This window comes from Homo sapiens, chromosome 22, assembly GCF_000001405.40.
Source record: "Homo sapiens chromosome 22, GRCh38.p14 Primary Assembly".
In the NCBI taxonomy this organism is placed as follows: domain Eukaryota; kingdom Metazoa; phylum Chordata; class Mammalia; order Primates; family Hominidae; genus Homo; species Homo sapiens.
Window position 1 is genome coordinate 50,027,403 of NC_000022.11, and position 24,329 is coordinate 50,051,731.

General features: G+C 56.0%; 1 protein-coding gene across 8 annotated transcripts in view, besides 2 other annotated features; it reads right to left on the reverse strand.

Annotated features, from left to right (window-relative positions):
- Nucleotides 1–24,329, reverse strand: part of TTLL8 (tubulin tyrosine ligase like 8) — a 39,724-nt gene that overhangs the window by 8,828 nt on the left and 6,567 nt on the right. The window contains exons 4-14 of one of the 8 annotated variants that reach the window (XM_024452173.1): nucleotides 22,707–22,845; nucleotides 21,847–21,920; nucleotides 19,766–19,894; nucleotides 18,454–18,568; nucleotides 17,853–17,984; nucleotides 14,219–14,405; nucleotides 6,955–7,103; nucleotides 5,800–6,043; nucleotides 4,284–4,707; nucleotides 3,028–3,523; nucleotides 117–879 (exon numbers count right to left, since the gene is read on the reverse strand). In XM_024452173.1, the coding sequence (XP_024307941.1) occupies nucleotides 800–879; nucleotides 3,028–3,523; nucleotides 4,284–4,707; nucleotides 5,800–6,043; nucleotides 6,955–7,103; nucleotides 14,219–14,405; nucleotides 17,853–17,984; nucleotides 18,454–18,568; nucleotides 19,766–19,894; nucleotides 21,847–21,920; nucleotides 22,707–22,845 (2,169 nt within the window). In that variant the 3' untranslated portion in view covers nucleotides 117–799. Of the gene's footprint in view, nucleotides 1–116; nucleotides 880–3,027; nucleotides 3,524–4,283; nucleotides 4,708–5,799; nucleotides 6,044–6,954; nucleotides 7,104–14,218; nucleotides 14,406–17,852; nucleotides 17,988–18,453; nucleotides 18,569–19,765; nucleotides 19,895–21,846; nucleotides 21,923–22,706; nucleotides 22,846–24,329 lie in introns of those variants that run through there. The other 7 variants (XM_024452172.1, NM_001350317.3, XM_024452174.1 and 4 more) reach the window with 7 other exon arrangements.
- Nucleotides 2,725–2,824: a silencer, noted in NCBI's record as "silent region_13947". NCBI's record gives its function as "represses an Ori minimal core promoter by ATAC-STARR-seq in GM12878 lymphoblastoid cells {active_cell/tissue: GM12878}" and the evidence as "EXISTENCE:reporter gene assay evidence [ECO:0000049][PMID:35858748]".
- Nucleotides 2,845–2,914: a silencer, noted in NCBI's record as "silent region_13948". NCBI's record gives its function as "represses an Ori minimal core promoter by ATAC-STARR-seq in GM12878 lymphoblastoid cells {active_cell/tissue: GM12878}" and the evidence as "EXISTENCE:reporter gene assay evidence [ECO:0000049][PMID:35858748]".

Consider the following 24,329-nt stretch of genomic DNA (forward strand, 5'->3'; position numbering starts at 1 on the left):
GGGCGCCTGTGGTCCCAGCTACTCAGGAGGCTGAGGCAGGAGAATTGCTTGAACCCGGGATATGGAGGTTGCAGTGAGCCAAGATCGAGCCACTGCACTCCAGCCTGGGCAACAGAATGAGACTCCGTCTCAAAAAAAAAAAAAAAAAAGGATGTCCGTTCTCCCCAAGATCTGCAGATTCAAGGTGATCCCAGTCAAAGTCCCAGCAGTTTGCTGTTCTTAAGCCAACAAGCTCCAAGGGCCAGCACGCACTTCCTGTCCTGCTGGCCGGACTGGGCCTGGTGACCCTGTCGCCGCAGGCCTTTTGCAGCACAGGCTCTGAGAGCAACGGTGCGGTTGCCTGACTGTCACGGAACAAACACACACCAGGCGAGCACTAGCCTGAGGCCGAGGGGCACATGGAGCTGGCCTGAGCCCAGCCAGGAGTCTGGAAGCAAGCCCAGCTCCTCCCGGCCGTGCCCTCGAGGGCCTGACCGCGAAACGCTCGTACGCACGGGTTGGAGTTGTTTGCCACGCGTGGCAACTGCGGCAGGAACCTGACTCACGCACGGACGCCAGCACCCACAAGTGAGAGGCGCCTCAGACACGTGGTGTCGGCTTTGGAAGCAGCTGGTGGGTGGTGAGGAAATGTCACAGCTCTGGAAAGACAGAGGCCTCTGTAAGGTGGTGTCAAAATGCCAGGTTGAATCAACAGTCATCTGCGGGGACTCTGAAGGCAGGCAATCCGCCCAGTGAACTGGCAGCACCGGGCAGGAGGGTCTGGAGGGAGAACCCTGGTGGCATGGCTGGTGTGTGAGGATCAAAGGCAGAGGAGATCTTTCCTCTTCAGCATGGTAATTTGGCACTGGGCTAAGCCTCCAGCTGCCTCCCGCTGGTGACCTGGTAAAGGGGAACATAAACTCCTTTGGTCGGCAACATTGCTTACGGCAACACTGCCCTGTGGCAGGCAGACCACGTGGGGACTGGGGAGTCATTGGTGTCTGGGAGGCCACGTCACTGGCCTTCCTGAGTGATCCCCACACCTGGGAATGTGCCCTGCGGGCCATAGCCGCGGGATTGCTGCAGGAGGAACTTCGCCTCCCGTGGGGCAAGAGGCATCTCCGTGAGTGGGTCCCAGCCCCTGAATCGCAGTGGGAATCAGGGAGGCGGCAACACCTGCGTGCCGTCATAAAGACCCCCACCATGCCCTCGTAAAGACCCCCATCACACCGTCCTGAAGACCCCCACATACCCTCGTAAAGACCCCATCACACCATCCTAAAGACCCCCACACACACTCGTAAAGACCCCATCACACCATCCTGAAGACCCCACACACCCTCGTAAAGACCCCATCACACCGTCCTAAAGACCCCCACATACCCTCGTAAAGACCCCATCACACCGTCCTGAAGACCCCACACACCCTCGTAAAGACCCCCATCACGCTGTCCTAAAGACCCCCACATACCCTCGTAAAGACCCCCATCACACCATCCTAAAGACCCCACATACCCTCGTAAAGACCCCCATCACACCGTCCTGAAGACCCCCACACACCCTCGTAAAGACCCCATCACACCGTCCTGAAGACCCCCACACACACTCGTAAAGACCCCATCACACCATCCTGAAGACCCCACACACCCTCGTAAAGACCCCATCACACCGTCCTGAAGACCCCACACACACTCGTAAAGACCCCATCACACCATCCTGAAGACCCCACACACCCTCGTAAAGACCCCATCACACCGTCCTGAAGACCCCACACACCCTCGTAAAGACCCCATCACACCGTCCTGAAGACCCCACACACCCTCGTAAAGACCCCATCACACCGTCCTGAAGACCCCACACACCCTCGTAAAGACCCCATCACACCATCCTGAAGACCCCACACACCCTCGTAAAGACCCCATCACACCATCCTGAAGACCCCACACACCCTCGTAAAGACCCCATCACACCGTCCTAAAGACCCCCACACACCCTCGTAAAGACCCCATCACACCATCCTGAAGACCCCACACACACTCGTAAAGACCCCATCACACCGTCCTAAAGACCCCCCCTATTGCCGGGCGCGGTGGCTCACGCCTGTAATCCCAGCACCTTGGGAGGCTGAGGCGGCGGATCACGAGGTCAGGAGGTGGAGACCATCCTGACTAACACGGTGAAACCCCATCTCTACTAAAAATTAGCCGGGCGCGGTGGCGGGCGCCTGTGGTCCCAGCTACTCGGGAGGCTGAGGCAGGAGAATGGCGCGAACCCGGGAGGCGGAGGCTGCAGTGAGCCGAGATCGCGCCACGGCACTTCAGCCTCAGCAACAGAGCAAGACTCTGTCTCAAAAAAACAAAAAAAACAAGACCCTCTCGTCATGCTGCCTAAAGACCCCCACCACGCCCTCGCGAGGACCCCCCACCGCGCCGTCCTGAAGACCCCCACGCGGGAGGAACGGCTGATGCTGCCCTGCTGGTCAGCCGCGCCCCTGCCCCACGTCCTTCTCCGCGACTCTGAGGCCAAGAGCAGCCTGTGGCAGCCCCTGAAGTCTGAACGTGTGGCCGAGGCTCGGAAGAGCCCGATGGGGGCCGGGCGTGGTGGCTCAGGCCTGTCACCTCAGCCTCCAGAGCCTTCAGAAAACCGCACGCCAAAGCCCCGCGGTCACTTTGGCCCCTCGCTCGGCCAGGGAGCTTGGTGCTGTTCACGGCGCTGTTCAAGGTCCTAACTCAAATCCTCCGACCCGCGCCACACCCCAGAGGTATGGGGACAAAGGCGTCACCCGCCAGGTTCTACAGAGGGGACCCCACCATCCACCTGGCCGGCACTCCCACGCCCCCCACCCCGAGACCCCCGTGCCGGGCTGGGACAGGTGCCCCAACCCCGCTCCCCGGCTCCCGCCGGCGCCTCCGTCAGGGGACACCCCGGGCCCCAGCACCGAAGCCTGCCCTGCGCCCCGCTCTGGAGGATGCAGCGGCTGCTGGCGAGGGTTGGGGATGCAGCAGGCGGCCCCCAAGCCCACAGCGCACCGCCGGCGGCGCAGGTTACCTTTTCCTCCGGGCGGCGGACGCAGCGCGCCCTCTGCTGTCTTCAGGCCCCGCAGCACAGGCTCCAGCGGGTGCGCATTTAGCTGGTTTGGATCCCAGCTTTTGGCGGGCTGGGCTACGGGGACACCGGTGTTTGGGGCCTGACTGTCCACGTGGCGACAGGGGCAGGCCGGGAGCTCCACCTTCCCAGCAGCTTTGGTGCGGGTGGGCTGTGCGGCTCCACCGCTCTCGGCTGCCCCCCTTAAGGGTGCCAGCAAGGCCAGGGGGAGCCCCTTCTCTTCCTTCAGTCCCAAGTCCCGCTGGAGAGCTGGTGATGGGGGTCCCTGGGCAGGGTCTGGCATGGCCGAGGGGCCCCGTGCCTTCAGCGGCTGCGCGTCCAACAGCGAGGCCGAGGCCTTGAGGTTGCAGACGGGCAGCACCTGCCTCCTGGCTCTCCTCACACTGACGCCCGCCACGCAGAGGTCGGACCCGCTGAATGGGGGCGGCTCAACCACCGGCTGTGGGGAAGGAACAGGTTGGGGTGCTGGGCTGTGGCCGGGATAGGGGGGGTCCCTGCAGGAGGGGTCTGTGCAGGAGGGGCTGGTCGGGGCACAGACCCCCACCTGACTCAGGAGTGAACAGTGAACACCTGGGGTCCCACGCAGACCCCCAGGAGGCCCCCAGGCTCTGGAGAACCTGCGGGGAACCAAGGCTTCCTGAGGCTTGGGGGTCAGCCTGGGGGGCCCCACACCCAGGGACTCAGCTGCTCTTTTCCCGAGTTTAGCCACAGAGAGGCCGCAAGAGAGAGGCATTGGCCACGCTTCCCAATGACTCCAGCACATCCGCAGGCACAGGGAGGCCCGCGAAAGATCCTCAGAGTGGAGGAGGCACTGCAGGCCAAGGCAAAGGAGCAGCATAGGTGGCCTGGAGGCTGCGGGCATGGAGCCCCCACCTCTAACCACAGTCAGGACTGGGTGAGGCTGGGAACAAGAGGGAGGAAAGCTGGACAGAGGCACTGAGCCTGAGTGAGCGGGGCCGCTCCGCCCGCACGCCTGGAGTAGCCCCTTCCTCGGTGCCGACGAGGCACTGAGCCCCATGGGAGAGCAGGGCAGGCCTGGGCCCTCAGCGGGACCGAGCATGGTCACAGAGCAGGATCGGTGTCCTCCATAGACCCCGCTGCACTGGCGGCCTGCAGCTCCACCCTCGCCCAGTGACCAGGTGGCAAAGCATCCACATGGCGGGCGGCCACCAAAGTCCCCAGGGGCGGGCGTGGCTCACCTGCCTCCACAGGAGCTCGAAGTTGCCGATGTCACAGCTGCGGTCCACGGCCACCTTGATGGTGTCCTCCTGCACCTGTGCACACAGCTGGGCCGTGACCGGCGTGGACGGGTGCATGGTGGGGCTGGAATTGATCTCGATCAGCCAGGGCCTGAAGTCCCTCCCAAGGACGAAGTCAGCCCCGTAGAGCTCAAAGCTGTTCTTGCGAGGCTCCACGTGGTCCTGGGCCACCTTCATGGCGTGGGCGATGGCCTTCTTCATGGACGGGTAGATGACGCTGCCCCACACGGCGCCACGGCCCTGGCGCTGCAGGTACTCCTGGAACCTGGTGCTGGTCCACATGTTGTGTGCGGGCAGCAGGGGGCTGCGGCCCACATCATTCTTCAGGTACTTCTGGACGGCGTTGTTGCACAGGTGGATGGCGCTGCAGGGGGGACGAGGGGCAGGTGCTCAGCCTCCCTTGGCCCAGGAGGGCACCCAAGGCCGGTCCTCCCAGCCGTGCTGAGCCCACCCAGCTGGCTCTAGAGAACCCTGCCCCTGAGGACTCCAACCCTCTGCTGGAGGGGCCCAGCTGGGATGAGCGTTACTGTCCCAGATGGAGAAACAGGGCTCAGAGAGGCCATGGGATTGGCCAGGCGCACAGCTCACAGCTGGAGGCCCAGAAATGGGCGCTGGCAGGGGGCCCTGGCTTCTCACTGCCCTGCCTGGGAGCTGCTTTTGCACAGGTGAGTTCCTGGACCCCCTCCAGGCCCACTTGACCAGAGGCAGTGAGCAGGTGAGGGTCGTAGCCCCTGGCCAGCTCCTCCCAGGCCTCTTCTGGGTGTGACTTCGAGCATGACCCACCAGGCATGACCGCAGCCGCTCGCCTGGGCCGGAGTTAACTCCCCTGCAAGGTCTGTGTCGCGTGACTCTCAGGCCTCCCTGGATTCTCACTCGTAAAAAGCAGACCCCCTTCCTGCCCAGCCGTCAGGTCCCCTAGCGCCTCACACCAAGCAAGGGCCACACAATAGTCAGAGGAAGCCTTGGTGCAGACAGAGGGTGGCAGGCGTCGCTGTGTGCACAGCACACTCCTGAGGACTCCACAGGCTCTCGCCCTCCTGCCCACGCGGGGACCCGGGTGAGGTGGGGGTCCATCCACCCTGGGCAGCACACTTGCGGATATCTGAGCCTCCACCAGGCACCCCACAGGCCGCCTCCCCTGCGCCAGGGCCCAGGTGCTGCCCACACCATTCCAATCCCCCTGGGCACAGGCAAAATGGTGCCTTTTAAGATTTTCCAGAGATGATGCACAGAGCGTGGGGTGTAGGGCGCTGGCTTTGAAGGCCGGTGGGCCTGGGCCTGTCCCTCGGGGAGATCATCAGCCTCCCAAGCCTCAGTTTCCCCATCTGTGCCTCTCGTGGTGGCAGGTGGCAGTGAGGGGGCCCTGCCCGTGCTGCTTCTCACTGCGGCTGCTCCAGGCATGCAGGCAGCAGCCCATTCCCTGGCCCGAGGTGTCCAGGTCGCCCACCGCACTGACCTGTCCAGCTTGTCCAGGGAGAAGCGCTGAGTTGAGAACCGCAAGTAACTCTCCTTGTAGAACCAGATGGTCAGGGGGTTCCAGTCCGTGACGAGGAACCACTGTCTGATGTCGAACTTGGTGTCACAGATGAGCAGCGGCGTCTCGATGTACTTCTGGACCACCCACTTGTTGTCCCTGGAAAGAGGGTGGTCTGCAGCTGCCAGCTCCAGGATCTCCTCCACACGGTCCATGCACACTATGTCTGCAAGAGGCCACCGCTCAACCCAGCATGCACAGCCACTGTGCAGCGGGACCTGAGCTCCTGAGCCCTGGGGCAGGGTCGCAGCTTGGCCCTGAGACCTGCACTGGCTTTGTCCAAGGCCAGCAGGCAGCATGGTTGGTGGGGGCGATGGGGGAGCAGGGAAGGCTTAGCGCTCATGGATGAGGCTAAAGCCAGTGCCTGAGTCCCCCAGGCTCTCCCCCAACAGAACCAGCCTCTGAGACCCCAGAGGGGACACAGAGATCAGTGAAGGGGCAGGGACAGAGACACTTTTAAAAGGGAGCCAGGAGGATGGGCATGGTGGCTTATGCCTGTAATCCCAGCACTTTGGGAGGCCGAGGCAGGTGAATCACTTGAGGTCGGGAGTTCAAGACCAGCCTGGCCAACATGGTGAAACTCCATCTCTACTAAAAATACAAAAAATTAGCCGGGTGTGGTGGGCGCCTGTAGTCCCAGCTACTTGGGAGGCTAAGGCAGGAGAATTGCTTAAACCTGGAAGGTGGAGGTTGCAGTGAGGCAAGATTGCGCCACTGCACTTCAGCCTGGGCAACAAGAGTGAAACTCCGTTTCAAAAAACTAAAAATAAAATAATAAAAATAAAAAACTAAAAAGGAAAGCATAGACCAGTTTGTGAATACAAAGGAGGAAATCCTGATTAACCCATCAACCCGGATCCTGCCCTGTGATCGGAACACATGCTGTGAAGACGCCTCCAGCTCTGCTCCAGCGCCTGAGTCCTGACCCCCACGCCTGCCTCGGCGTTCTGCTCCCTCCCTTCCTTCCCTGTGGTGCTGTGGGCCTGAAACTGTCCCTCACTCACGGCTCCTGGCATCAAGTGTGGCCGTTGGTGGCTATGAACGCGGTGCAGGGAGCATCCGCACCAGGGGACTCACCTCGGCCCCGGGACTTGGCCGCGGGCTTTATAATCCAGATGTTCCGGAGCCCGTCAATGTCCGTCTGAGGGTTCACAGACGTGATTCTATTCAGCAGAGCCTGGCACTGCGAAAAGTAATTTCTTGAATTGGAGATGAAAGCATCGCCACTACAAAGCAAGATCCAGAAAGTGCATGAGACTTGGAGGCCTGGGCCCCGCCTCACCCACCAAGCAGGCGCTCGGCTCTAGGATGGTCTGGGGCTGGCCTGGCGGGAAAGGGCTGCGGGTCGGCCCAGGAAGTTCTCCCAACAGTATGGACACCTGGAAAACACAGCCCTGTGAGGCTGCTCCAGACGAGGGCTGTGTTAAGACAGTGGGGACCCCGGTGTGTGGGTCGGAGCTGGCCACAGACCCCAAGCAGCACCCTGCCTGGGTGGAAATGGTGGGATGCACGGGTGGGGGTGGGGAGATGCAGCCACGCGGAAACGTGGGAGACACAGGCGGGGGCAGACGCAGCCATGCCCAGCTTCCGCCTGTGGTTGGTGGTGCCTGGGACCGACCCCTGGTAGGAAAGTGGCCGGCCCGTGCAGGCCTCCTGTGTCCCGGCCAGCTGCCAGCACCACATCCTGGGAGCTCAGCATCATTCTGACTCAAGACCCTTTGCAGTCACGGGCTAGACTCAGGAAATCATCATAACCACAGGGAATAAGGAGAGGGTGGGGAGAGCTGTTTGAGGGGCTTTTAGAGTTCGGGGGTGCACTCCTGCTGCCCGGATGGATTGGGGGGAAGCCATGCCAGTACCAGCAGCTGCCCCAGGGCCCGCTGGAGCCGTCCTGCGTGGGCAGACTCAGAGCTGTGAAGACCTGGTGGGGACCCCATGACGTCCTGACAAGGTGGCTGCAGCACAGGAGTGAGAGCCAGTGGGGCTCCAAGGACGCCAGCCGTGACTCTCACAGCCGGCCTGGGCTGGGGTGGGGAAGCCCCTGAAGACACAGGACATCGGGGTTCCATTCACACCTGCTGGGGGCAGCTTGAAGGGAGAAGTGAGGCTGGGGTGTCCCTGACAACATGGGAGGGGCCCCACCACTGTGGAACTGTGGCCGGGGGTGCCTGGGCGAGAGCCCCTGTAGGGACAAGCCCCTCCCAGGGAAGGACTGAAGGCGACCTCAGGCAGTGGCACCTCCTGGCTCTCACCGGCTGCCACGCCTCCTCCGTGGTGAGCGCCGAGCACTCCTGACCTCAGGATGGCAACAGGACTGCTCAACTGTGATGAGAACTTGGAGCAAACCGGGCACAGCCAGCCCCCCGCGCCCCTGAAGCAGCCTTGTCTGTGCAGCACAGGTCAGTCCCCAACTATTGTGGTCTAAATAGGGTGGGTCACCCATGACGTCCACCATGTTGGTCACTGCCAAGGCCGCCCAGGATACCAGCAAGCTCCCAGTGACACGGGGCTACAGCGACTCCCTCAGGAGGATGATCTGTGGGAAGGAATCCCTCACAGCCTCCCAGGACAGCCCAGCCCCGAGCCTGTGACAGCCCTCACATTGGAAGGTGGTATTTGGGCAGGACCACTGTCCCCACAAGTGTACGCGCCACTGTGTTGCCCCTGCTTTGGGGGGAGAAGGCTGTGAGCAGTGAGGGATACAGCTGCTCAGGAGCCCAGCGGAGCACCGCGCAGGAGCTGGCAAAGTCCAGGAACCATGAGATGCACATCCCAAACTCATCAGAGAACAAGCACGGGCCTCCAGATGCTGACGGCGAGCAGGGGCCACAGCCAGGGCTCTCTGGGTCCTGACCCCAGGGCACACCTGCCAGGGGTCCCAGCTGAGCCCAGCAGGTGAGGACTGACGGGCCCGAAGCACCAGGGACTCCAGAGAGACCCCCTCCGGCAGCAGCCGGGAATCTCCCCTGGACGCCCACCCTCCTGACATGGTTTGGGATGAGACGACCACAGGGACTTGCGGGGATCCGATGCTGCCACTGGTGGTCACCCCTGGGTCTTCCTTTTAATTCAGGTCTAAGAAAACGCAGTGGGGTGCATCCTGCCATACTCAAAAAAGTCAAGTTGAACAGTGTGTACGTCCTTGTACACTCGTGTACACACCACCCAGATCGAGACAGGAACGCCTGGGCTCCTCAACAGGAACGGAGACCAGTTACGGTGCTGACTATCACTGCAGACAGGGCTGCCCTGTTCCTGAACTTCCTGTCAATGAAACTACACAATTGGTGCTCCTTTGTGTGTGGCCTCTTTCTTTTCTTTTCTTTTTTTTTTTTTTTAAGACTGAGTGTCACTCTGTCACCCAGGCTTGAGTGCAGTGGCACGATCTTGGCTCACTGCAACCTCCACCTCCCAATTCAAGCGATGCTCCTGCCTCAGCCTCCCAAGTAGCTGGGATTACAGGCATGAGCCACCATGCCCAGCTAACTTTTGTATTTTTAGTAGAAACAGATTTCACCATTTTTGCCAGGCTGGTCTCAAACTCCTGACCTCGGGTGATCCCCCCGCCTCGGCCTCCTTAACTGCTGGGATTACAGGTGTGAGCCGCCGCGCCCAGCCAGTGTCTGGCTTCCTTCGACCTGACTGTGAGATTCATCCACGCTGCAGCATAGCTCAGCCCCTCCTTGGACACAGTTTGGCAGTTTCCAGATTTGGGCCATCATGAAGTCTTTCTGAGGACACATGTTTCCATTTCTCTTGCATAAATACCTTGGAATGGATTATCTGGGCCATTGGGTATGTAGATGCCTAAACGTGTAAGAAACTGTCAAAGACTTTTCTAAATGGGTTGTGCCAATTTACACTCCCCTAGCCGTGTGCTAGAGTTCCAGCTGCTCCACACGTTGGCAAATACTTGATGTCGTTTTAACTTTTTTTTTTTTTTGAGACAGAGTCTTGCTCTGTTGCCCCAGGCTGGAGTGCAGTGGCGCCATCTCAGCTCACTGCAGCCTCTCTGCCTCCTGGGTTCAAGAGATTCTTCTGCCTCAGCCTCCTGAGTAGCTGGGACTACAGGCACGCACCACCGCGCCCAGCTAATTTTTGTATTTTTAGTAGAGATGGGTTTCACCATATTGGCCAGGCTGGTCTGGAACTCCTGACCTCATGATCTGCCCGCCTCGGCCTAGTGCTGGGATTACAGGCGTGAGCCACCACGCCCGGCCCAATGTTTTCCCATTCTTAAAAACCTTTCACATATATGATATATCAAACTAATTTTTGTGTATTTGTGAAGCAGAATTCAAGGTACATTTTTTTTTCGTATGGCTGACCACTGTTTAAGCATCATTTAGTGAAAAGACCAACCTTTCCCTAATGAATTGCAGCAGCAGCTTGGTCTCGAATGCAGTGAACACAGATAGGAGGGTCTATCTTTAGACTCTATTCTCTTACACTGATCCTATCCCAATATCACATCTTAACTATTGTAAACCTAGAGTAAGTCTTGAAATTTGGAGCACAAGTCTTCCAATTTTGTTTTTCTTTATCAAGTCTGTTTTGGCTCTTCTTAAATCATTCATATTTCTATATAAATCAGTTCATTAATTCCTCCTGCCCCCCAACAAAAAAAATACCTCTCAGGATTCTGGCTGGGATTACATTGACTCTATTGATTAGTCTGAGAAAAACAAACATCTCTACACTATTGAGTCTTCTAAGTCATTAACATGTTATACACACACACACACACACGTTTATTAGGTATTTACTGTCTCTAACTTTATAACTTTAAATTTAGGGTCTTGAATGTATTTTGTTAGATTTATTTCTAGAGGTTTGTTGTTATTTGATGTTAGTGTATTGTGTTTTTAGAATTTCGTTTCACGATTTGTTGCTAGAACACAGAAATATGATGGAGTCTTGTATATTAACTTTGTACCCAGTGACCTTGCTGATTTCACTTAATTTTAATACTTTATCATTTATTTAAATTATTTAAATATTAAATTTTTTATATGAACAATCATATCATCTACAAATAGGAACTTTATTTCTTCCTTTCTGATCTTTATGCCTTACTTTTTTTTTTCCTGTACTATTTAACTAGTCAGACCACTCAGTCTATGCTGAACAGAAGTCTGATGATGAGCAACTTCGTCTCATTCTGATTTCAAGGAGGACACTCTCAATAATATATAACCACTACGAAATATGTTAGCTGTTGGATTCTTAAACTTTCAAATGAAAAGATCTGGCTGTGTGTAGTCAGTCACGCCTGTAATGCTAGCACTTTGGGAGGCCAAAGCAGGAGGACTGCTTGAGGCCAGGCATTCAAGACAAGCCTGGGCAACATAGCAAGACCCTGTCTCTACAAAATAATTAAAAAATTAGCCAGTGTGGTGGCACGTGCCTGGAGTCCCAGCTACTTGAGAAGCTGAGGTGGAAAGATTGCTTGAGCCCAGGAGTTTGAGGTTGCAGTGAGCTATGATTGTACCACTGCACTCCAGCCTAGGTGGACGGAGTGAGACCCCAATCTCAAAAAAAAAAAAGAAGAGTTTTTTCATTTCCAAGTTGGCTAAACAAATTTACTAGGACAGGTATTAAGTTTCATCAATTTTTGCATCTATTGAGATGATCTTATACCTTTTCTTTTCTATTCTGAAAGTGTAATAAAATTCACTGATTAACTTTTCAATGTTAAACCAACCTTGCATTCTTGGAATAAAGCCCATTTGGTTCTGATGTATTATTTCATTCACATTTCACTGGTTTAATTAAATAATATTTCGGTTAAAGTTTTGTGTACATATATATTCATGAGAAATACTGGCCTATGATTTTTTGTTATTTTACTTTTTTCAAGTTTTGATATCAGGCTTTTCTGGCCTCATAAAATGATTAGAAAATGTTCTCTCTTTCTCTGTTACTTGAAAGCATTTTTGTGTTATTGGAATTAATTTTAATTAATGAATTAATTAAATTTAATTAACTAGTGAAATCATTATGGGCTTGGATCCTCCTTTGTAGGAAAGTTTTTAAATTACAGATTTAGGCCGGGTGCAGTGGCTCATGCCTGTAATCCCAGCACTAACACGTATGTAACTGGAGCCCTGGAAGGAGAGAAGAGAGAACAGGGAAGAAGGAACATCCAAGAAATAATGGCCTAGAGTATTCTAAATTTGAGGAAAAATTCTAACCCACAGATCAAAATGCCCCACGAACCTCAACCAGGAGAAATACAAAGAAACTACTTGTAGAAGCATTATAATCAAACTGTTGAAAACCAAAGACAGAGAATATCTTAAAGCATCCTGAGGAAAAGATATTACCTTCAAAAGGAACAAAACTCGTAACTACAGATGTGCCAGCGTGGATGGACCTCACCAACCCCACGTGTGCCAGCGTGGATGGACCTCACGGATCTCATGTGTGTCAGTGTGGACAGACCTCACTGACCCCACGTGTATCAGTGTGGACGGACCTCATGGACCTCATGTGTGCCAGTGTGGATGGATCTCACAGACCTCACATGTATCAGCGTGGACAGACCTCACAGACCTCACATGTGCCAGCGTGGATGGACCTCATGGACCTCATGTGTGTCGGTGTGGACAGACCTCACTGACCCCACGTGTATCAGTGTGGACGGACCTCACGGACCTCATGTGTGCCAGCTTGGATGGACCTCACAGACCTCATGTGTGCCAGCAGGGACAGACCTCACAGACCCCAGGTGTGCCAGCGTGGACGGACCTCACAGACCCCACGTGTGCCAGTGTGGACAGAGCTCACGGACCTCACATGTGCCAGCATGGATGGACCTCACGTGTGCCAGCGTGGACGGACCTCACAGACCTCACATGTGCCAGTGTGGATGGACCTCATGGACCTCATGTGTGCCAGCGTGGACGGACCTCACGGACCTCACATGTGTCAGCATGGATGGACCTCACTTGTGCCGGCGTAGGCAGACCTCATGGATCCCACATGTGCCAGCATGGACAGACCTCATGGACCTCACGTGTAACAGCGTGGATGGACCTCAAGGACCTCACATGTGCCAGTGTGGACGGACCTCACAGATCTCATGTGTGCCAGCGTGGACGGACCTCACAGATTTCATGTTGGGCACAAGAAGTCATAAACGAGAGAGCACAGACTGTTCCCCAAATGTGAAATCTGAAAACAAAACTGGTTCATGGTTGCAGGAGCCAGAATGGGTTGTGACCCCTGTGGGGGTTCTCCCGGGAAAGGTTAATAGGGGCTGATGGGGGACTGGAAACGTTTTGTGTCTCAAGTGGGCTGTGGCTATGCAGGTGGACACGTAAGCAAAATTTCTTCCACCTGTACAAATATGATTATACACTGTGTGCCCTTAACCGTATTTATGTAATCCCTCAATAAAAGGAAAAGAAAAATATTTGATTAATTCACAAGAAGAAGAAAGAGACAAAAGAATAAACACCACCCTGGGATGAAGCATGAAGCTGCCGCAGACCCTCTGAAAGAAGTCACTTTCCTGACTTGCCCATCAGCCGGCACCTGCTCATGCTCCGGGGGTGCCAGGCCCACCTCTGCCCAGCTCCTCTCTCTGGTGGCCGCTGTCAAGGGAGTGCTGAACCCCTGGCCCCAGGAAGAACTGGGCCCTCAGCAGGGGGCAAGAAGGCCAGGGTCAGCCTTTGGACCCCTGGAGTGGCAAATGGTGATGATGAGAGTCAGCGAGCCAGGAGCTCTGGGCCCAGGCATACATCTGCCAGTCATTCACCAGCTGCCAAGCTCTGGGCCTCGGCACACCTCTGCCAGTCACTCGCCAGCTGCCAGGAGCTCTGGGCCCAGGCACACCTCTGCCAGTCACTCACCAACACCAAGAGTGAGGCAGGTGCCCCAGTGGAGAGACAGACAAACCCCACCTGCCTGTCTCGGGCTGTGGGGGGCTCAAATGACATCATAACCTTCTGGATTTTGAAGATGCACAAGACAATGCTACTCCCCAAAGGCACCCTGAGGGGGTATCATCCTCTCAACAGTCATCAGGGTCCTGGTGGGACAGGCAACAGAGGGCCTGGGCACCCCGACACCCATAAGGCACCCCAAGATCCAGACAGACACCCCAATACCCAACAAGTATCCCAGACATCCAGACAGACACCACAATACTCAACAAGCATCCCAGACATCCAGACAGGAGCCCCAACGCCAGGACAGGCATCTCAACACTCAATACCCCACAGGTAGCCTAATGCCCAGACAGGTGACCCAGTTCCCAGAGGCTGCACTGCCCCGGCAGCTCCTGCAATCTGCACTCACAGCTCCGACATGTGCCAGGGGCCTGCGTAAGTCTTACTGAACGAGGGAGTAGTACTGCTGGGTCAGGTCCTCCCACTCGGCCTCAGTGAGGTCCTCCACGGCATCTGCTGACGTGTCGATGTCCTCATGCTCCAGCTGCCCCAGGTAGGCCTGGCACACCTTGCACGCGATGTCCACAAGCTGCCCCGGGAGGCCCCTGAGCTTTGCCTCAGCATTTTCAGCATCTGAAACCCAGACACAGGCACATGCAGTGGGAACCTCACCCAGGGGCAGCCCTGCCCGCCTCGAGGGGTGATGTCTAAAGTCATGGACAAAGGCTGCTCCACTCCCTCTGTGCCCCAATACCCAACAAGTATCCCAGATCCCCAGACAGGCACCCCAATACCCAACCAAGCTTCTCTGGGCAACCGCCCTGGATGTCACGCCTGTGTCTGGGCAGGTGACTTCCTCCCTCCTGAACGGTCCCAACCTCCAATGGCTCTGTGAGTGCCACCTCCCCACAGGAAACATATGGGCCCTGCCACTGGACCCTCAGCTCCTCACAGTAGCAATTACTGATAAGTTCGACTTCATTAAAATGAAAAACTTCTGCTCTGTAAAGAACAATTTTAAGACAATGGGAAGACAAGCCACAGACTGGGAGGAGATATTTGCACACACTTAATAAAGGAATATTACCTAGAGTATACAGAGACCTCTTGAAACTCAACAATAAGAAAACATAATTTTATTTTTTATTTTTATTGTTTTAAGACAGAGTTTTGCTCTTGTCGCCCAGGCTGGATGGCAAGATCTTGGCTCACTGCAACCTCCGCCTCCTGGGTTCAAGTGATTCTCCTGCCTCAGCCTCCCGAACAGCTGGGATTACAGGTGTGTGCCACCTTACCCAGCCAGAAAACAATTTAAAAATGAACAATCTGAACAGTCACCTCACCAAAAAATATATACAGATGGAAAACAAGCATATGAACACATGCTCAACATCATATACCACTATGGACTAGCAATTCTGTATCTACAAGTTTTTTCTATAAAATACCCTCAGAAATTCATAAGGAAATGGAGGCTAGGCACAGTGGCTCACACCTGCAATCCCAGCACTTTGGGAGGCTGACACGGGAGGATCGCTGGAGCCTGAAAGTTTGAGACTAGCCTGGGCAACACAGTGAGACCCTGTCTCACAACACAATCACCACAATCATGAGACACTAATAAAGACCCAGGAGAATGCTACAAACAGAACCCTGACCACATCAGACGCTGGCGAGGATGTGGAGAACAGGAACTCTCCCTCATTGCTGGTGGAAATGCAAAATGGTACAGCGACTTTGGAAGACAGTCTGGCAGTTTCTTACAAAATGAAACATACTCTTGCCATACCACCCAGTAAGTGCGTTCCTTGGTATTTACCCAGATGAATTCAAAACTTATGGTCACACAAAGACCTGCACACAGATGTCGACAGAAACGTTATTCATGATCGTCAAAACCTGGAAGTGACCGAGACGTCCTTCGGTAGATGGATAGACAGATAAACAGTGGTGCCGAGACGTCCTTCAGTAGATGGATAGATAGATAAACAGTGGTGCCGACATGTCCTTCAGTAGATGGATAGATAGATAAACAGTGGTGCCGACATGTCCTTCAGTAGATGGATAGATAGATAAACAGTGGTGCCGAGACGTCCTTCGGTAGATGGATAGATAGATAAACAGTGGTGCCGACATGTTCTTCGGTAGATGGATGGATAGATAAACAGTGGTACCGAGACACCCTTCGGTAGATGGATAGATAAATAAACAGTGGTGCCGAGACGTCCTTCGGTAGATGGATAGATAGATAAACAGTGGTGCCGAGACGTCCTTCGGTAGATGGATAGATAGATAAACAGTGGTGCCGACATGTTCTTCGGTAGATGGATAGATAGATAAACAGTGGTACCGAGACACCCTTCGTTAGATGGATAGATAGATAAACAGTGGTGCCAACATGTTCTTCGGTAGATGGATAGATAGATAAACAGTGGTGCCGACGTGTCCTTCAGTAGATGGATAGATAAATAAACAGTGGTAGATCTAGACAGTGGAGTATCACTCAGCCCTAAAAAGAAAAGCGCTCTCAAGCCATGAAAAGACCTGGAGGGATCTTAAATGCATATTACTAAGTCGAAGAAGCCCATCTGAAAACGCTCCATGCTACGTGGTTCTAACCGAATGGCATTCTAGAAAAGGCAAAACCGTGGAGACAGGAAGAAGATCAGTGGTAGCCAAGAGCTCGGGGGCGGGGGGATGAAGAGACAGAGCACAGGGAGTTTTAGGGCCGGGGACCATCTCTGTCTGATACTGGAATGGTGGATACACGGCATCATACATTGTCCAAACCTGTAGAATGTATAACACCATTTGGGTTACCATGATGTGTCATTGTAGGTTCATCAATTGTGTTAAAATCATTAATTAGGCCAGGTACGGTGGATCAAGCCTGTAATCCCAGCACTGTGGGAGGCCGAGGTGGGCGGATCACCTGAAGTCAGGAGTTCGAGACCAGCCTGGCCAACATGGCAAAACCCCATCTCTACTAAAAATACAAAACATTAGCCGGGCGTGGTGGTGGGCACCCAACTACTCGGGAGGCTGAGACAGGAGAATCGCTTGAACCCAGGAGGCGGAGGTTGCAGTGAGCCAAGATCATGCCATTGTACTTCAACCTGGGTGACAGAGCAAGACTCCATCTCAAAAAAAAAAAAACATTAATTAGGAGGCCATCAGATGAGGTGGCCCAAGTGACCTGGTCTCCGACCAATGCAAACTACAACCTAACTCAGAATTGAAAACGGAATGTAAGCACAGCCAATCACAGGCAGCCAGCTGGGAACAAGTTCTCACTCAGCACAAATGAAGCCACCGCTCCAGCGTTCACCAATCAGGATTTATTTCCTCTGTTTCCACGTTTACCTAGAAGGGCTTTTCCCCTCGGTGGAGCCCTGCAGCCTCCTGATTGGCACAAATCACCGTTTGCTCAAATACACTCTAAAAGTTTAATGCGCCAATGTTCATCTGTCAACAGTCGAAGCGCACTGCTCTGGTGGGGGATGTTGGCGGTGCAGGAGGCGCGGGGGCAGGAGAGTGTGGTAAATCTTGTACCCTCTGCTCAGCTGTGCTGTGAACCTAAAACTGCTCTAGAAATTACATTTTATTAAAACCAACAACCACAAAAAAGATTTGGGTTTTGTCCAAAAACACGACGGCTGGTTCACATCCCTGTACCACCCAGGGGCGCCTCTCCCCTGGGCTTCCTGTGTCCTCTCCCACGGGGCCCCTTTGGGGAGACTCAGGCTGCGGCATCGTGGTGGCCGTGGGGTGGGGCAGGCTTCCGACCACAGGCTGGAACCACGTCCGCGGCACAGGACTGTGGCAGTGAGTGTGGGACTCGGACGTCCCAGGGCTGCGTTAACTGCCAGGTGCTTTACAAACGGGGTGACTTTGACGTTTAGCCCCACGGTTAGAACAGAAAACCCGTCTGCCATGAGAATCGAGAGAGTCTGAGGCATCGCTGTATCCAGCCCCGGCTGCTGCAACCCTCAGGACTGACCACACCCAGGAGGCGGGAGGGCCCCTGTGGAGGCCCCGAGCTCTGGTGGCCTGGCACTGCCCTGCCCCGGCCCAGCGCACCTTGCCTGCTGCTCAGGTCGCTGCTCCCGGCCTCCTCCCTCTGGTCCCTGGGCTTGCTTCTGCTGCTCCTGCTGCAGCTCTGGTGGCTGACCACCCACTTGAGGATGCTGGATGCCATGGTGCGCCGGAAGTCTTCTGAAAGGACAGCACAGCCTCGCCCTATCTGTCCGAGCCAGGACTGGGGACTGGAGATGGGGCCAGGGCCACGGAGGCTCCCCAACCCGCCCCACTTCCCGCCCTCATAGCCGATGGGGCCCAGGCCTGCTCCCACACCCCCAGTCTGCCTGCCCTTCTCCCTGCAGTGTCTCTGTGACTGCGGCCGTCCAGCTGCACCCCTCGGCCTCCGACCACGGAGCCGGCCTTGCCCCAGCTGCTCGCCGCGCTGTCCACAAGCCTAGCACAGAACCACACACTCCTTGACTGCCCGCCCTCCCTCCCGGGGCCCCTGGCCTCTGTACTGCCATGACCATGACCATGGGAGGCCTCTCCCCGGTCCTCTATCCTCAGACCCTGCCCCATCAGTCTGTCTCAGCACCAGGGGGATCTTTCTAGAAGCCTCTCTGCTGACAGCACTGGGGCCCTCTGCCGTCTCCTCACTTACCCAGGAACTCCTGCTGCTCACTCTCGGTGCAGAGGCTGTAGCAGCGTGGGAAGAAGGAGTCGGGGTTGGCCGGGACGTACCAGGGCAGGCTCCGCATGTTCACGCACAGCCCGATCTCCAGAGACAGTGGCGTGTTAGGCAGGAGGGGCAGCTCAGCTCAGCTCTGCCTCGCTCACAAGGCGAGGACGGGCCGTCCACCTCAGACTTGCCTGGCTATGGGGCACCACACAGCACCCCTAGGGCGGATCCCTCCCCCTCCCCAGATATACGGTCCCCCAGGGCCCCAGAACACCCCCTCCAGCCGGTGGGAGCATGGATGTGCAGGCCAGGCTCAGACGCATCCTTGAGGCAGTGGAGGGCGTGGCAGGCCCCAGGGAATGGGGAGGCTGCAGCTGAGGGCACCGAGGGCGGTGGGCACTGGGGCTCCCTCCAGGCCCCCAAACGGGCCACAGGGTGTCCCACACCTCAGACCCCAGGAGAGGGAGGAGCGGCTGCAGGGCCCGGAACGCAGCCACATGCCCAGCACTGCCCACCACACGCGAGGTAGCACGCGCCATTAGAGAGGCATATCGTGAAGTCCCCGCACCCCGATGTCTGGTTTGTCACCCTGTTAAGGAAAAAAGTGGCTGGCCCCCAGAAAACACAGCGCACGCTGACTGGCTCTGCACACGGGGTCTTTGAAGGGGCCATGTTGCCACTAGCAGCGCTGGCGCTGGCCTGACCCTGGGGTATTAGGTGCGGAAGGGAACCTTGTCCTGCACCTCCGCCCCACACTGTGCTGAGGCAGCCGCACCTGGCCTGCTGAGAGGGACCTCTGTGCCAGGGAAGCCCCTCTTCCGGGACCCCTCCCTCAGCAGGGTCCCCACACCCTGCGTCCTGGGCAGGCCTCAGCCCTGGGCCTTGGTGGGAAGGGTGTGGCAAGCTGCTTTGTGCAGGGCTGGAGGCCGGGGGAGGCGGGGGAGTGCCCGGTGCTGGGGGGAGCGGCACCTCTTCCCCTGGGGTCCCACAGCCCCCTCAGCACCCAAAGCCCGGTGGCAGCCCCCAGTCAGCCCCATCTTTGGCCTCTGTGCCCTGAGGAGGGAGCTTCTGGGGCCCCGGATTCACCCAGAGACACAGAGCAAAGGGCACAGGGGTGCTGGGGGTGGGGTGGGCACCGAGTGATTCTGGCCACGGCCTTAGACCAGGAGTCCTGGGATGCACCCAGGAGGTGACTGGTGGCCACTGACCAGCCACCGAGGGTCCCTAATGGCTGCAGAAGCTCCTCCCCACCACCCTTGCCGGCTCCCGCCACGCTCAAGCGCGGCCGGCTCACCTTGGTGGTGAAGGAGGCTGTCTTTGCGTAGTGGTTCAGCATCTGGTCGTAGGTCAGGCTGTGATAGTCAATGATGTCCCTCTTGATGGTCCAGAGGAGGTACGGCATCTCATTTTTTACCAACCTAGACTGGCAAGAAAAAAGTCTTTATTGATGCCCAGCATTCAAGGTTCACACCAGCCAGGATGGGATGGAGTGAGGCAACCATCAGAGGACAAATGGCGTGCAGCGTGAGGATCCCAGCCGGGCTCTGCTGCAGGCAGTAGTGCTCCTTGTGGGCCTCCTGCACATGGGATGTGGGGCGCAACCAGGACCACATACGGTTTCCACAGAGGGGCCTCGGGCTCTGGGGGGCCACCCCGATGTGGGGCTGCAGGTGGGGTCTGAGCCGTCCGCATGGGGTCTACGTGGGTGTGGGGACGTGCCACTTGCCGAGGTGACACGACACTTCATAACCCAGAGCTTACAGTCCCCAGGACCGAAGCCCCCAGGCCTGTACCATGGGCCCTGCACACCCCTCCCTGAGCCCCAGGCACTGGCCTCCCGCTCCTCCCCTGCTGATAGAGGGGTTGGTCGTGGAGCTGGGGGCCTGTTGTTGGTGCTTTTCTGTTTATAACAATGGCATGTGTTAAGTCAAAATTCCAACCAGGCTGGGTGCAGTGGCTCACGCCTGTAATCCCAACACTTTGGGAGGCCAAGGCAGGCAGATCACCTGAGGCCAGGAGTTCAAGACCAGCCTGACCAACATGGTGAAACTCGTCTCTACTAAAAATACAAAAATTAGCCGGGCGTGGTGGCGGGCGCCTGTAATCCCAACTACTCCGGAGGCTGAGGCAGGAGAATCACTTGAACCCAGGAGGCAGAGGTTGCAGTGAGCCGAGATTGCACCATTGTACCCCAGCCTGGGCAACAGAGTGAGACTCCATCTGAAAACACCCCCCCAAAAAAGTGTGTGTGTGTGTGTGTGTGTGTGTGTGTAAATAATAGCATACTAATCACTAACCACTGGGTACTGGGGTGAGAAACAGCATCGTCAACAGAGCCGAAGTCCCCCAGCCGCCCCCACCCGGTAACTGCCACCTGCTTCTGTCTGTCCTCCAGGCACAATGAGCAGAATGTTTCTGTCTCTCTGGAATGCATGTGCTACAATCCTCATCCCCAGGGCGATGGCATAGGAGGCTTTAGGATTAGGTCATGAGCCTGAGCCCCTTATGATGGGCTAGCACCCTTATAAAAGAGGCCCCAGAAAAACCCTCGCCCCTGGGTGAGGACGCAGAGAGAAGCCAGCCGTCCATGAAGCAGGACACTCTCACAGCACCCAGCCACACTGCCCCAACCCAGACTCCAGCCTCCAGAACAGTGAGGAATGTTCTGATGTGTCCACACCACTGCCCACGGACCTGTGGGAGCCGCTGGAGCACCCAGGATGCTCTGTAGGAATGGCACTGACTCCAGGAACCTGGAAGGGCGAGCTCACTGGCCATGTGGGAGGCGCCTCATCAAATCTGGGCCCATTTTTCTATTTGTCTTTTCATTACTGATTTGTGAGTTCTTCATATATTCTGGACATTTGATCTTTTAAATTTTAAGTACTGCAAATGCCGCCTCCCACCCTGGTTTCTCTTTCGCCCTCTTTATGGTGGAGTGTTGGGAGCCCCGGAGGGACTAGGCTGGGCTGGGGAGGTGGGGAGGCACATACTACTGTGTTGCTGGAGACAGGAGCTCACTCGCTGGCCAGGCCCCATCCTGCAACACACCAGCCGGGCTGTCCGAGCCCTGCCGGGCCTCAGTGCCCTCAGCTTCCACATGCGCACAGCAGGCCAGCCCAGTGTGGGTGGAGGGGAGCTGGGAGCACCGGGTCCACCCACTACACAGCGGCTCATCCAGCACCGAAGGGCTCGCCCCACCCCTGGGGGCAGCCAGGCCCTGCTGCCCGGTCAAGGGGCCCTGCTGTGACTGGGGCTTTGCCCTCGCCGGGCTGCCATCCCCCCAGGACATGGGAGAGTGGGCACGGAGCAGGGCGACGGTGTGAGAAGCTTTGGAGAGGCCGCAGCTGACCATGACGCATGCAGGGGACGTACCATCACGTCGTGGATGTTGTCTGTTTTCTCCAAAGCCATTTCTTGATTTTCTTTGACTTTGGCACATGTATCATCTGCCAACAAAACACAGGGGAGGCCTGAACATGAAGCCTCAGCCAGACTTCCCGCACCGGGTCCGTTACCACAACCGCAGGCAGGACAGCGACTTTACTTCCAGAAACCTGGCTCCAGATGGGGCCTTCCCCTGGTGGAGCAGGAGCCTCTGTGGGTCCTGAGTCAGGCTTGGGGCATTCTGGCAGCCCCCATACATCCAATGAGCGTCCACCGCACAGCACCTCCCCAGGGCTGTGACAGGGCTTGGGGGCCCGGGATTCCTGGAGGCCCAGGTGTCCCCAGGTGTGGAATGGTGGAGACAGCCCGGGATGGGGGTGGGAGTGATAGAGGCTGAGGGGCCACAGGCAGGGGTGGAGGAGGAGGGGGACATTTGATCCGGGTCTCAATGGGGCCAAGAGGATGCAGACACAGCTGTGCAGATGTCAGCGAGGAGCAGCCAGCACCACGGGGGCCTGAGGAGTGGACTTCAGGGACCTGGGGCTGGAGGAGGGACAGCTGAGGCCGGGCGGAGAGAGGATGACAGAAACCGCCCGGGCAGGAGGAGGCCTGGGTGGAGGCCACAGGGACTCTGAGAAGGGAGCAGGGCTGGGGGCTTGAAAGGGTTTGCCTGGCACGACCGCCTGGGGCAGGGAGGCCAGGAGGGTGATGGAGACCTGGGGTCGGAGATACCCCATCACGCACACCAGGGCCGAGGGGCAGGCACCACACTCAGGCCGGCGCCGACTCCTCCTGCCCGTGACAGACGCACACGCCCTGAGCTGAGACGTGCGCCTCCGATACGCTACCATTGACCCGGGCGCCTTCATCCTCGACATCCGGAATGACCTTGGGCAAAAAGTGGAACTTCTTCTCTACCCAGCCCTTCCTTCGCAGAGCGGCCCGGACCACCGGGTAGTGTCCGTAGATAGAGAAAATCTTCTTCTCCTAAAATGGCAAGAGGATATTTTATTTTATTTCAATCATTTTTGGGGAATAGGCAGATTTTGGTTGCATGGATAAGCTTGTTAGTGCTGGTTTCTGAGATTTGGGGGCACCCATCACCCAATATGTCCTTTTTTTTTTTTTTTGAGATGGAATCTCACTCTGTCATCCAGGCCGGAGTGCAGTGGGGCAATCTCAGCTCACTGCAACCTGTCTTCCAGGTTCAAGCAATTCTCCTGCCTCAGCCTCCCAAGTAGCTGGGATTACAGGTGCCTGCCACTAAGGAAGGAGACCACTACTACTCCTGCTGCCCTCCTCCCCCACCTTGCCTAGTTCACAAGACAGGAGGAGAGAAAGAGCAAAAAGTTGGGGGAAAAGAAAAGTAAGATAAATAGCCAGACAACCTTGGCACCACCACCCAGCCCTAGGAGTTAAAAAAAGTAATAATAATAACATCAACCCCTGACCTAAACTACTTGTGTTATCTGTAAATTCCAGACACTGCATGAAAAAAGCATTGTAAAACTTTCTGTTCTGTTAGCTGATGCATGCAGCCCCCAGTCACGTTTCCCATGCTTACTTGATGTATCACGACCCTTTCACGTGGACCCCTTAAAGTTGTAAGCCTTTAAAAAGGCCAAGAATTTCCTTTTCTGGGAGCTCAGTTCTTAAGACGCGAGTCTGCTGACACTCCCGGCCGAATGAAAACCTCTTCCTTCTTTAATCCGGTGTCTGAGGAGTTTTGTCTGTGGCTCATCCTGCTACACCACCAGGCCTGGCTAATGTTTGTATTTTTTAGTAGAGATGGGGTTTCATCATGTTGGCCAGGCTGGTCTTGAACTCCTGACCTCAGGCGATCTGCCCACCTTGGCCTCCCACAGTGCTGGGATTACAGGCGTGAGCCACCGCGCCCAGCCCCAATATGTAATCTTTTATCCCTCTCTCCCCTCCCAATCTTCCCCCAAGTCTCCAAACTCTATCTTATCATTCTTATGCCTTTGCATCCTCATAGCTTAGCTCCCTCTTATGAGAACAAGCGATATTTGGTTTTCCATTCCTGAGTTACTTCGCTTGGAAGAATGGCCTTCAGCTCCATCCAGGTTGCTGCAAAAGACATTATCTGGTTCCTTCTTATGGCTGAGCAGTATTCCGTGGTGCAGATACACCACAGTTTCTTTATCCGCTCGTTGGTTGATGGGCATTTTGATTGGTTCCATATTTTTGCAGTTGTGAACTGAGCTGCTGCAAACATGCGTGAGCAAGTATCTTTTTTGTATCATGACTTCTTATCATCTGGGTAGATGCCCAGGAGTACGGTTGCTGGATCAAATGGTAGATCTACTTTTAGTCCTTTAAGGAATGTCCACGCTGTTTTCCACAGTGGTTGCACTAGTTTATATTCCCACCAGCAGCGTAAAAGTGTTCCCTGTTCACCACTTCCACGCGGACCTCTATTACTTTTTCACTCTTTCATTATGGCCATTCTT